The following is a 14,020-nucleotide window of genomic DNA, read 5'->3' as shown; positions in this document are numbered from 1 at the left end:
ACTGTTCAGGTCGCCACTCCACCTGAGCCATGCGCACAAGACCCACGTAAGGAGACCTAAGGCCTGGAACTTAGACTCTTGGGACGCCTGCCCGGGACGAGGTCAGCAGGCCCCTCACTCTCCTAGACACAGGGGCCTGCGCACTGCCCGGAGTCTCCCAGTCCTTCTCTGTGCCAGCACGGATTGGTATTTTATTTTAAATGACAGCTTTATTGACACAATTCAAAGACCATACAATCACCCACTCAAAGTGTACCAGTCAGAAGTTGTTGGCATATTCAGAGTTGTGTATCCATCACCACTGGGTAACTCTAGAACATTTTAAACTGAGACGTCATTCACACACCATAAAATCCCGACACGTGCCCCAACACCGATGAACCTTGAGGACGTTATGCTAAGAGACGCCAGCGACGAAAGGGCAGATACCATGTGGTTCCACGTATGTGAGGTGCATAGAGTAGTGAGGTTCATAGGCACGGACAGTAGAATAGGGGTTGCCAGGGGTTGGGGGCAGGGGATGAGGGGGGCTGCTGTTTAATGGGGGCAGGTTTTAGTTTTGCAAGATGCATAAAGTTCTGAAGATGGATGGTGGTGACGATTATACAACACTGTGAATGTATGTAATACCACTGAACTGTGCACTTAAAAATGGTCTGGGTGCTGTGGCTCACACCTGTAATCCCAACACTTTGGGAGGGCGAGGAGGGCAGATCACCTGAGGTCAAGAGTTTGAGACCAGCCTAGCCAACATGGTGAAATCCTGTCTCTACAGAAATACAAAAATTAGGCCGGGCACAGTGGCTCATGCCTTTAATCCCAGCACTTTGGGAGGCCGAGGCAGGCTGATCACGAGGTCAGGAGATCGAGACCATCCTGGCTAACACGGTGAAACCCTGTCTCTACTAAAAATACAAAAAATTAGCCGGTGTGGTGGCGGGCACCTGTAGTCGCAGCTATTCGGGAGGCTGAGGCAGGAGAATGGCGTGAACCTGGGAGGCGGAGCTTGCAGTGAGCTGAGATTGCACCACTGCACTCCAGCCTGGGTGACAGAGCAAGACTCCGTCTCAAAAGAAAAAAAAATTATCCAGGCATGGTGGCAGGCGCCTGTAATCCCAACTACTCGGGAGGCTGAGGCAGGAGAATCCCTTGAACCCAGGATCAGGCTGTGGAGGTTGCAGTGAGCCGAGATCACACCACTGCACTCCAGCCTGGGAGATAGAGCAAGACTCCATCTCAAAAAAAAAAAAAAGACTCAAATGGTAAATATATGTCATGTATATTTAACTACAATTTTTTAAAAAAGTAAATAATTAAAAATCAATCAAATGAAAAGTTGCAGGCCAATGGGCCTAGAGTGCTGCCGGGTGTATTAATATGTCGGCAAAAGAAAAAAATGCTCATGCATCCATGCATCCATGTGCCTGTACTTGTACACACCACCCTGGAAGGATACCAAAGAGCTGCCCCGTGAGCCGGTGACAAGGATGGCATTCCTTAGGTGGGTGGGAGCCCCAGGCAGGAATCTCCACAAGTGAGTCCTTTCATGCTCCTGGAACTTGGAATCTTGGGACTCTGTTACCTATTAGAAAAAGTTAAAAAATTAGTTGCCAAAGGAGGCCAAGCTGAGGGAAAAGAGCTAAAGCTTCCAGCAGCGATGGTGGCCCCACCCCACCAGGCCCCACCTTGGGCGGGGGCTCCCGGGAAGAAGCCAGCCTGTCCGGTGAAAGCTTGAAGCTCCTGTTCTGTAAGGAGCTGAGTAATGGTGACATACCAAGGCAGGTCAGCAGGGAAGAAGGCGACTTTGTTTATTCCTTCCCTCCTAACCTCACACATCTTCCGCTCAGAGGTCCAGCAGTGTGCGGTCGGCCCCGTCCCAGTGGCTAGACTGAACGATCTGCTGAGACCACGGAATTCTGAGCAGAAGGCGTTCCCAACAGCCACGCTCACACCCAGAGCACAAGCTCCCGGCCAAAAGCCGCCTCCCTCGGCTGCACAGGAATCTTAACATGCGGGATTATCCACTGAGGAAAGAGTGGAATGGAACAAACAGAAAAAGTGAAGGTTCCTGTAAAGGCGATTAAAATCGACTTAGTTGGCAGCCGAATGTTAACACTGCTGCAAAGCCTTAAAAAGAAAGCCAGCCATTTTATGCAGAATTTACATCCCAGCAGCCCAAGAAATGAGGCTCTTACCTAATTAAGGAGCAGTAACAAGGCATATTACTTGCTTCTGTTTTTATTTTTACCTTTCGGATAATTTCCAAATAAATTATTACCAAGCTGTTTTGAGGTTTGAGAATAAGAAGAAAATCTGATATTCAAAATAAGGAGTCGTTTCATGGTCTCTGACTGATAAACAGACATCCATTAGCAAAATGAGAGAGACACATTTTCCTAGATCAAATTTCCAAAGAAATGAAGTTTGTTGTGTTTTCTTGTCAAAATGCTGGCTGCCTCTGGTGTTTTGATGAAACATTTTCCTCTGGAGAATAAGAAGATTCTGGAAGTGTCTTGTGTGTTTGGAGGGCTAAATAGATGATAGACATAGTGATGCTGTTAGAAGTTAGGGCTCTCTTGTAGAAGGAGGTACAGATACGGAATGACGGACACAAGGAGGAGCCTGCAGGGCCGGGCAGGACTAGGAGTGACTGTGAATTCATGGTATGAGTTATTATGGATGCATTATAACTAATTACACGATAATTAAAATTAATAGTACAATCACATATTAATAATACAACTATATTAATAATATAATCACAATTCAATGATGTTTAATAGTATTATTAATTGTATATTTATTTATACATATTATAATAATCTCACAAATAATTTTTTTCTAGGATCTAAATGATACCATGGTAAAGTGAGCACAACTCATGCCTGGACCCCAGTGTGGAAGAAATACTCTGTTCTAAGAAAGCTGGCCTTGGTCGGGCGTGGTGGCTCACGCCTATAATCCCAGCACTTTGGGAGGCCAGGGCAGGAGGATCACTTAAGCCCAGGAGTTTGAGACCAGCCTGGGCAACATAATGAGACCCCATCTCTATAAACAATTTTAAAAATGTAATCAAGTATGATGTTGGGGACCTGTAGTCCCAGCTACTTGGGAGGCTGAGCCAAAGAGCCATGATCCTGCCAGGGCGCTCCAGCCTGGGCAACAGAATGAGGCTCCGTCTCAAAGCAAAGAAACAAAAACAAACAAACAAAAGGAAGCAGGGCTCCTCAGGGAAGTGGCTGCCTCCAGCGCTGCAGCAGTTAAAGTGCAGGCTGAGCCGGGTGCAGCGGTGGTGCCAGGAAGCAAGGGCGTGCTCCACCATGACAGGGACACGGGGCCGGTCAGCCAGCATCCAAACAAGCCCCACAGCCACTGAATATAACTCACCGAATCAAAGAAAACCCCACAAGCCTTCACTGGTAGCCAGAGGGGAGACTGGGCAGTTTTCCTTACGGTGGAAAGCCAACTACTAAATGGAGAAGAAATGAAGGAGTTAGAAAATCACTATGTTGAGTGGGCATAGTGGCTCACGCCTGTAATCCCAGCACTTTGGGAGGCCGAGACAGGAGGATCGCTTGAGCCCAGGAGTTTGAGACCAGCCTGGCCAACATGGTAAGACCTCATCTCTACCAAAAAAATTTTCAAAAAATTAGCTGGATGCTGTGGGATATACCTGTAGTCCCAGCTACTTGGGAGGCTGAGGCTGGAGGATCCTTTGAGCCCAGGAGTTTGAGGCTACAGTGAGTCATGATCACAGCACTGCACTCTAGCCTGGGTGGCAGAGTGACACCTTGCCAAAAAAAAAAAAAAATGGTAGCACAATGTAGATTTTTACAGAAGGAGCAAGAAAGGCCACGAAGCAAAATGTTTAAAAGCAACAACTTGAAGTGAAAGGTTTAAGGAGCTCATTGAGCTTTCCTTTTCTCCGGAAGACCCCAGAGAGAGCCCTGAGTGGGTCTGTGGCCATTGGGAGTCTCTGGCCACCACAACGGGAGCTTGTGGTCCTGTAGGAGCTGATGGATGGGTCAGCATCGCCTGGGCCGAGTGCCCATGTCTGCCATGTGACTCGTGGTCTTCCACAGCAGACACTCAGCTCTCTACATACAGGCGTGGCTGGTACGAAAGCCACAGGGGCTCCCCCAGGGCCCCAGCTCAGGGTCGGACGTGGGATGTGGCCGGCCCCAGACTCTCTGCTCGAGCTCATCTGTGCAGCCTCACAGGGGCTGGCCCTGCCACGGGTGCCCCTCCCGGGCCGTGCACCAGGAGGTTTCCACCCTGACCTGTGAAGATGCAGCGCTCTTCGGATCTGAGCAACACACTTCATTCAGGATGGGCCTTTCCCAGGACAGCACTGATGGGAGCTTCCTGTGCACACCTGTTGGGCTGTGCTTCTCCTCGGAACATCCGGTTAAGCAGGAATGGGGCCTGTGTTGGGGTAAGGGGCTGCTCCACTCCCTCCATGCCCCACCTGCAACTGTGCAACCACCTCCTGCATCCAGCCAAGCTGAGGGGTCCACATGGATGGTCAGCAGGGTTTCACCTGGCAGTGAGATCTGCCCCCTGCACTGGGGGGACGAGGGCTGGTCTGTCCTCATGTCCTGCCCCAGTGGCCACCCCAAGCCCCAAGGGAAAAGCAGCACAAGTGTGTCTGCTCCCCACTGCGTAAGGGCACCTGCTCCTCTTTCCACCGGCCAGCTCCTGGATGCCCCACACCCGCAGCCTGTGAGCAGAGGGTGGCAGGAGGGAGAGGAGGTGACAGAGAGCCCAGAGATAAAAGCCAATGTGTGGGCCACTCCTGAAGGCTGCAGGCACAGAGACAGGGGGCACCTATCAGGGCTTGGGGCTGAGAGGACGCCCAGAGCTGCAGGCGGAGAGCAGGGGTCACTGCCAAGGGCTCTGGCCAGAAAACCAGGCATGGGGCTCTGGGGAGCCTTCAAGGAAACAGGCCCGGGGCTGTGGGCTGAGGCGGGGCTCTGGTGAGACAGCTCCTAAACCCCAAGCCAGCATGGCCATGCTGGGTCCCTGACCTCCAAGGCCATTGCTCTGGGGGATAAGACACGCCCAGTAAGCAGGATCCCAACATCTACTCATCCCGGCAGCCTCTGGGCCTCTGCAAACCCTGCTCGGGGGGAAGAGGAGGCTGAGGGGGAGGCTGCACCAGGCAGAGCTGTTGGGGAAGGGCCCCTGGATGCCACATGTGAACCTCAGAGAGGGCAGGTGTGTGGGCAGGCACGGCCGGGCCACGGGAGCACGTGTCCGGGCAGGGAGAGGGCAGTGGGCCTGGGCTGAGCAGGTTGGGGGCCCTGCGAGAGAGACTAGGGAGGTCTCCAGAGGGGTGGCATGCCCAGGGTGTTAGGGAGATTGATGTGGCGGCAGCAGACCCCCGAGGAGGCAGGGGTGAAGGTGTCACCCAGGAGGCTGCAGACAGCTGGCCAGCCGGGGTCCGAGGGGCCAGTTAATGAGGAGAGAGCCAAGGGCCAACGTACCCAGGAGGAAGGAAGGAAGCCAGGCCAGGCAGGGATGGGTGGCGAAACACAGCGTGAGACCACAGTCATGAAGTAACTCCCGCAGCCGCTCCACTCAAGCCGGTCCTGAGGCGGTTTCCACACTTGTTGGCTGTGACTACAAATTAAAAAGCCAAGTGCAGACATCAAGGCTGCCCTGCAGCTGTGACACCCCTCCCCGCCCCACCCACCACGCCTCTGACTCCCAGCCGAGGGCCGAGAGCCCCTCCTGAGCACACCCCATCCACCCAGCTCCACAGTGTGCACAGGGTGTGGCAGCCTTGGATGCAGAGAAGCACCTTGCAGCCTCCCCAACAGGTTCCCGCTGGCCCAGTGCCAGCCCTTGCCCCAGTTGTGCAGGGACCTGCGGAGCTGTGCTGCAATTCATTTCTTTGGCAACAATGACCTGAGAGAGCCTGGCCTTAAGAGCGAAGATAAACGGGCTCTTCGACTAGGATGTCCTTGTCACAGCGGGAGGGAGATCTGCAGCTGGCCCTGCTCCCTTACCCCTTTGCACAACGTGAGGAGCCCCTGAGAAGAGCCCATGGACCACGCCGAAATGCAGGGTGCTGTGGGGTTCTCCAAGGAGGAGGCCAGGCCCTTGTCCTCAGCTCAGCCCCGGGGGAGGAACCCAGGGAAGGGGAGACAAATTTTGCAGGGATGTGGAGTCCCAGAGAGCAGGGCCCCTGTTCAGAGCCGAGAGGGGCCGCAGGGCGTGGGGGCAGAAAGAAGTGCAAGGGCTGTGCACCAAGGACACAGATCAATAGCCGGTTCCTCAGAGTGCAGCTGAAAAGCTTAAAAGCTTTGAAAATGCAATGTCTGGGTTCTGCCGGTGAGCACCTAATAGTGCTCTCTGAGAGTGGCCCCCGACTCTGCCTTTTTTTTTTTTTTTAAATGCAGATACCGGTTTAAAGCTAGACACACTCTCAGTTAAGTGTACACCAGCCTCACAGACTTCATGATCCAGACTTGTTCTACGTGACCCAAATTACACATGACTGCCTGTTATGTGCTTTAAAATATTTTTTAATTGAATTTTTTCTGTGGAGATCATTGTAGATTCACAGGCAGCTGTAAGAAATAACACAGAGAGGTCCCTTGTACCCAATGGTACCATCTTGCAACGGTAGGACATCATAGCCTGGATGCTGACACTGGTACGGTCAAGATACGGGATATTTCTGTCACCAGAGACTCCCTCCTGCTGCCCTTTTACGGTCACACGCACCTCCCTCCCACCGAAGCCCTTTCCTAACCTCCAGCAATGGCTGATGTGTCTTCCATTTCTAGAATGTTGATTTCAACAGTGTTATGTAAGTGGACATGGAATCATATAGTATATCATCCTTCAGGCCTGGCTTTTTCCACTTAGCATAATTCTTTGAAGATTTATGCCAGTTGTTGCAGGGATCAATAAAAACTTCAATTCTTTTTTTTCCTATCAGTATTGTATAGTTTTCAGTGTTCAAATTCTGCATTTTTAAACTTAATTTAATTTTTTAAATCTTTTTAGAGATGAGGTCTCACTTTGTCACCCAGGCTGGAGTCCAGTGGCATAGATCATAGCTCACTGCAGCCTTGAACACCTGTGCTCAAGTGATCCTCCCCTCTCAGCCTCCTGAGTAGCTGAGGCTACCAGTGCACAGCACATACCTATGTTCTATATATGTTAGATTTATACCTAAGTGTTTCATTTTTTGAGGGATTTTAAATGGTATTGTATTTTTAATGTCAGTGCCCATGTGTTTGTTGCTAGCATGTAGAAATAGAATTGACTTTTGATCGTTTATCTTATGTCTTGCGACCTTGTTAAACTCACTTATTAGTTCTAGGAGGGCTTTTTTGAGGGTAGATTCCTTGGAATTTTCTATGCAGAGACAATCATGTTATCTGTAAATGAGGGCAGTTTTGTTTCTTCCTTTCCTGTCTGTGTGCCTTTTATTTCCTTTTCTTGCCTTATTGTACTGGCTAGAACTCCCAGCTCTGTGCTGAGTAAGAGTGGTGAGAGCAGGCATCTTCTCTTTGGATCCTGGAAGGAAAGAACTTAGTTTTCACCATCAAGTATCACATTAGCTGGCCAGGCGCGGTGGCTCAAGCCTGTAATCCCAGCACTTTGGGAGGCCGAGGCGGATGGATCACAAGGTCAGGAGATCGAGACCATCCTGGCTAACATGGTGAAACCATGTCTCTACTAAAAATACAAAACATTAGCCAGGTGTGGTGGTGGGCACCTGTAGTCCCAGCTACTTGGGAGGCTGAGGCAAGAGAATGGCGTGAACCCAGGAGGTGGAGCTTGCAGTGAGCTGAGATCACGCCACTGCACTCCATCCAGCCTGGGTGACAGAGTGAGACTCCATCTCAAAAAAAAAAAGAGTATCACATTAGCTATAGGTATTTTATAGGTGCCCTTTACAAAGTTGACAAAGTTCCCCCTTTATTCCTAGTTTTAGAATTTCTGTTATGAATGAGTGTTGAATTTTGTCAAATGCTTTTTTTTTTTTTGAGACGGAGTCTTGCTCTGTCGCCCAGGCTGGAGTGCAGTGGCATGATCTCGGCTCACTGCAAGCTCCGCCTCCCGGGTTCACACCATTCTTCTGCCTCAGCCTCCCAAGTAGCTGGGACTGCAGGCACCCGCCACCACGCCTGGCTAATTTTTTGTATTTTTAGTAGAGATGGGGTTTCACCATGTTAGCCAGGATGGTCTCGATCTCCTGACCTCGTGATCCACCCTCCTCAGCCTCCCAAAGTGCTGGAATTACAGGCGTGAGCCACCATGCCCAGCCGATTTTTGTCAAATGCTTTTTGTGCATCAATTGATATGATTTTTCTTTGTTAGCCTGTGAATTCAGTGGATTACATTGTTTGCTTTTTGAATGTTTAACCAGTCATCCATTCCAGGAGTAAACTCCACTTGGTAATGGTGTACAATTATTTGTATGTAGTGCTGAATTCTATTTGCTAATATTTTATTAAATATTTTCTTGGTCTATATTCATGAGGGATATTTTTCTGAGATTTTCTTTTTTTCTACTATCTTTGTCTGGTTTTGGTATCACTGTAATTCCAGCTGCATAAAACAAATTGGAAAGTCTTCTTTCCTCACCTATTTTCTGGAACAGTGGTGATAAATTTTTCTTTAAAGATTTGATAGAATTATCTATTTAAACGATAGGAGTCCGGAGATTTCTTTTTTTAGGAGTTCTAAAATTATTAATTAAATTCCCTATTCAAATTATCTTTTTCATATTGGGTAAGTTGTGGTAGTTTGTATTTTTCAAGAAATTGGTTCATTTCATCCAAGTTGTCAAATTTATATGTATAGAGTAGAGTTATCATTCCTGATATTGGTAATCTATGTCTTTTTTTTTCTTTGGTCAGTATTGATAGAGTTTTGTCAGTTTTATTGACCTTTCAAAGAATCAGCTTTTGGCTGGGTGTAGTGGCTCATACCTGTAATCCCAGCACTTTGGGAGGCTGAGGCAGGAGGATTACGAGGTCAGGAGTTCAAGACCAGCCTGGCCGATATGGTGAAACCTCGTCTCTACTGAAATACAAAAGTTAGCTGGGCGTGGTGGTGCGTGCCTGTAGTCCCAGCTACTCGGGAGGCTGAGGCAGGAGACTCGCTTGAACCTGGGAGGTGGAGTTTGCGGTGAGCCGAGATTGCGCCACTGCACTCCAGCCTGGGCAACAGAGCAAGACTCCGTCCCCCTCCCCCCACAAAAAAAGACAATCAGCTCTTTCTTTCATTGATTTTCTCTATTATTTTTATAAGGATTTTATTAATTTTTGCCCTTATCTTTTATTATTTTCATCCTTCTGCTTGCCTTGGGTTTATTTTGCTCTTCTTTTCCTAGTTTCTTGAGGTTTTTGAGCTTATCGATTTGAGACTTTTCCTCTTTTCTAATATATGTGTTTAATGCTATAAATTTTCCCCATCCACAATGCTTTTTCTGTGTTTTGACATTTGTACTCCATTTTCATTCAGCTCAATGTATTTTTTAAAATATCTCTTGAAACTCCTTTTTCCCATGGATTACTTATAAATGAGTGGTTTAGTTTTCAAGTATTTGGAGGTTTTTCTGTTATCTTTCTGTTGATTTGTAGTTTGAATTCATTGTGTTTGGAGAACCCACACCATGTGATTTCAATTTTTAGAAAATTGTTAAGGTTTGTTTTGTGCCCCAGAATATGGTCTATATTGGTATATGTTTCGTGGGCACTTGGAAAGAAAGGATAATCTGCTGTTGGAATAAAGTGTTCAATAAATGTCAATTAGATCCTGTTGGTTGACGATATCATTGCGTGCTTCTATTTTCTTGCTGATTTTCTGTCTAGTTGATCTATCAATTGTTGAGAGAGGAGTGTTGACGTATCCAACCACAATAGTGGATTTGTCTATTTCTCCTTTCAGTTCTATCCCTTTTTGTTGTATATATTTTGCAGTTCTGTTGTTTGTTAGATAAATGTTTAGGATTACTATGCATTCTTGTTGCATTGACCCTTTTATTATTGCATGTCAGTCTTATCCCTGGTAAGTTTCTTTGCCCTGAAGTCTGCCTCATTTGATACTAATATAGCCACTCCTGCTTTCCTTTGATTAATATCTGTGTGAAACATCTTGAAGTGAATTTCTTGTAGATAGTATATAGTTGATACATGTTTTAAAATCCATCTTACCAATCTCTTTTAATTGGTGAGTTAAGACATTTACATTTAATGTAATTATTGATATGTTAGGATATAATTGTGCCATTTTATTTATTTATTTATTTATTTATTTTTGAGACGGAGTCTTGCTCTGTCGCCCAGGCTGGAGTGCAGTGGTGCGATCTCGGCTTACTGCAAGCTCCACCTCCCGAGTTCACGCCGTTTTCCTGCCTCAGCCTCCCATGTAGCTGGGACTGCAGGTGCCCGCCACCACGCCCGGCTAATTTTTTGTATTTTTAGTAGAGACAGGATTTCACCGTGTTAGCCAGGATGGTCTTGATCTTCTGACCTCATGATCCTCCCACCTCAGCCTCCCAAAGTGCTGGGATTACAGGCTTGAGCCACTGCACCCAGCAATTGTACCATTTTATTCTGATCTGTTTTCTGTTTGCTCCCTGTTTTTTGTTTCTGTTTCCTTTGTCCTGACTTCTTATCAGTTAAACATTTTTTAGAATTCCATTTTGATTGATCAATAGTGTGGGTTGTTTTTGTTTTTTGTTTGCATTTTTTTTTTTTTTTTTTTGGAGACAGAGTCTTACTTTGTTCCCCAGGCTGGAGTGACATGACTCACTGTAACCTTAAACTCCTGGGCTTAAATAATCCTCCCACCTCAGCCTTCTGGGTAGCTAGGACACAGCCATGTGCCTCCATGCCCGGCTAATTTTTTAATGTTTTGTGGAGTAAGGGTCTCGCTATGTTGCCCAGGCTGGTCTCGAACCCCTGTCCTCAAGCAATCCTTCTGCCTCAGCCTCCCAAAGTGCTGAGATTATAGGTGTGAGCCACTGTGCCTGGCCCTCCATCGTGTTTTTGAATGTAGCTCCTTGTACAGCCTTTTAGTGGATGTTCCACATTATATACAACTTATCACAATCTACTGATGGTGTCATTTTTTCAGTCTGAGTGAAGGGTAGGAAACTTACCTCTCTTTGTATCCCATTATCCTGCCCCATTTATAATGTAATTGTCTTAAATCTTTCCTATACATACACTTAGAATCACATTAGGCAGTGCAATAAATTTTGCTTCAGCCATCAGACATAACTTACAAAATTGAAGAGGAGAAGAAAAGCCTATTGTATTTACTCACATTTTTACTTATTAGGTTTTTTTCCTTCCTTCCTTATTTAATTATTTCCTTCCCATTTAAATAACTTCCTTCAGCTGGTGTTTTTGGGTAAGTCTTTGGCAACAAATTCTCTTAGTTTTCCTTCATTTGAGAATGTCTTGATTTCCCTTTCATTCCTGAAGGATATTTTCACTGCATATAAGATTCTGGGCTGATGGTTCCTTTCCTTCAGCACTTGAAAAATATCGTGCCACTTCATTCCGGCCTCCATCAGTCCCGAAGGGAAATCTGCAGTAATGCAAATGGTTTTTCCCTATAGAGTATTGGTACTGGTATTGGTATTGCTTTCTCTGGCTATTTTCAAGATTTTTGCTTTGTCCTTAGTTTTTAGAAATTTCACTGTGATGCGCCTTGGCATGGATTGCTTTGGGTTTTCCTTGTTTGGGATTCATTCTGAATCTGTAGGTTTGTGTCTCTTGCCAAATATGGGGAGTTTTAGCCGTTGTTGAGTACTTTATCAGCCTTGCACGCTTTCTCCTCTCTTTCTTAACCACCAATGACACAAATATTAGGTCTTTTGTTGCAGTCCCACATATACCTGAGACTGTTCTTTTTTTTCTTTTTCAGTCTATTTTCTCTGTTGTTCAGACTGGGTACTTTCTATTGTTCTGTCTTCCAGTTCACTGGTTCTTTCCTCTGTCCCCTTCATCCTGTTCTTGAGCCCATCCACTGAGTTTATACTTCAGTTATTGTATTTTTCACTTCTAAAATTTCCATTCCAATTTCTTTATATCTTCAATTTCTTTCCTAAGATATTCTCTCTCTTTCTTTGCTGAGGCTATTTTTTCATTTGTTTCAAGCACGTTCTTAGTTGTTTGCTGAAGCATCTTTATGATGGCTGCTTTACAATCTTTGTGAGCTAATTCTAACGTCTTTGCCACCTACTGTTGGCATCTACTGATTGTCCCTTTTCACTTAGTTGCATTCAACAGTTTCAGTCCGTTGCATCATACTGAGAACCATCTTCCTGGTAATGAGCGGTTTTCTATTGAAACCTGGACATTTTTTGTGTTATGAGACTCTGGATCTGATTTAAATTTTCTGTTTTTCAAACAGCTTTATCGAGGTATAATTGATACCCAAGAAACTACATATTTAAAATAGGCAGTTTGATGAGTTTTGACATATGTCTATACAGACCCATGAAACCATCACCACAATCAAGGTAATAAACACACCCATCAGTCTTCTCTATTTTTTTTTTTTTTCTTGAGACAGAGTCTTGCTCTGTCACCCAGGCTGGAGTGCAGTGGCACAACCTCGGCTCACTGCAACCTCCGCCTCCCAGGTTCAAGCAATTCTCCTGCCTCAGCCTCCTGAGTAGCTGGGATTACAGGCGTGCGCCACCACGCCCAGCTAATTTTTAGAGTTTTAGTAGAGACAGGGTTTCACCATATTGGCCAGGCTGGCCTCAAACTCCTGGCCTCAAGTAATCCAGCCGCCTTGGCCTCCCAAAGTGCTAGGATTACAGACATGAGCCACCATGCCTGGCCCCAAAGTCTTCTATTGCTGCTTTTGTAAACATTGTGGTGTTGTGCTGTTGTTGTTTTTTTGACGCTGCTCTGGCCCCTTGTTACTGCAGGGTGGAAAAAAGTCCAGGTTCCCCACTCAATCTCCGTTTATACCCAAGGGAGCTCTTTTTCTCTTTACTCTGGGCAGGGTCTGGCTCCCCATGTGGTTTCTGCTGACAGCCCATTGGGGTGGCCTCGTTACCACTGAGTAGTAGTGAAGAGCCAGGCTCCTCGCTTTGCCTCCTCTGACACCAACCCCCACCCCCAGCAGGGAGGGGGAGAGGGCGGCATTACTGGCAGATGGGGTGGAAGCTCAGGCTGTTCCACAATGGGGTATGGGTCAGGGGTGGGTGCGGCGGTCTCGGCTCCCTCCTTGGCCTCTCTGACACCACAGGGGGAGATGTTGGGGTTCCTTGCCACGGCTTCCCAAAGTGGGGAGCCTAGGCTCCCGCTCAGCCTTTGCTGGAGTGGCCGAGGGTGTTTCGGTGGTGATGGCTGGAGTAGACAGGTTATCGCCTAAACGTTTTGACCTTGCGAGGCTGCTGCCTCCTGGTCCTTTGGCTAGACACAGCAGCTTTCATTGGAGTAATTTTGTCTGTGTCTGTTGGCGTTTCCAGGTTGCTGGCTTCTTCAGCTCCAGGAGTGAGATATATGAGGCCAAAAGAAACCACATGGAGCTGCCCGCCCCGTCATCCTTGGGTCCTGAGGTCCCTGACGGATCTCTGCTCTTCTCTTCACCTTTCAGAATCCGCTTATGTTTGCTTTCTGTGTGGTGTCCAGGCTTTTAGCCGTACATAGTGGGAGGAACAGGGAAAAGTACTTCTACTCAATTTTCCTGGAAGTGGAAGTCCCTGTATTTTTAGAAACCATTTCCCCTGGGTGACCCTTGTGCAGTCAGTTCTGCAAGGCTGAGCGGTGGGCTTGGGAATTGCCTTGGCTGGCTCTGGCTGCCTTTCCATCAGCAGACACCTGAGAGGTCCCCAGCATTTTAGGCGACTGGGACAATAGAGAACCACTTCTATTAACGGGTCCGAGCTTACAGAATCCACCAGGGCCTTGGAGACGCCCACCCAGTGGGGTGGGGTCCTGGTCTGGAACTGGGAAGCTCCAGGGACAGCAGCCTCCTGCAGCCCACACCGCCCCCTGGTGGCCGAGCCTGACCAGAACCGGGC

At 47.4% G+C, this 14,020-nt stretch overlaps 2 annotated features.

The window, feature by feature from the left end:
• Positions 1,237-1,796: an enhancer, noted in NCBI's record as "H3K27ac-H3K4me1 hESC enhancer chr22:19679492-19680051 (GRCh37/hg19 assembly coordinates)". NCBI's record gives its function as "activates a minimal SCP1, AML or CMV promoter by ChIP-STARR-seq in primed H9 embryonic stem cells {active_cell/tissue: H9 hESC(primed)}" and the evidence as "EXISTENCE:reporter gene assay evidence [ECO:0000049][PMID:30033119]".
• Positions 4,779-5,627: an enhancer, noted in NCBI's record as "H3K4me1 hESC enhancer chr22:19675661-19676509 (GRCh37/hg19 assembly coordinates)". NCBI's record gives its function as "activates a minimal SCP1, AML or CMV promoter by ChIP-STARR-seq in primed H9 embryonic stem cells {active_cell/tissue: H9 hESC(primed)}" and the evidence as "EXISTENCE:reporter gene assay evidence [ECO:0000049][PMID:30033119]".

The sequence above is a fragment of the Homo sapiens genome, chromosome 22 (assembly GCF_000001405.40).
Source record: "Homo sapiens chromosome 22, GRCh38.p14 Primary Assembly".
NCBI classification, from domain to species: Eukaryota; Metazoa; Chordata; class Mammalia; order Primates; family Hominidae; genus Homo; species Homo sapiens.
This window is presented reverse-complemented; position numbering and strand designations above follow the sequence as displayed.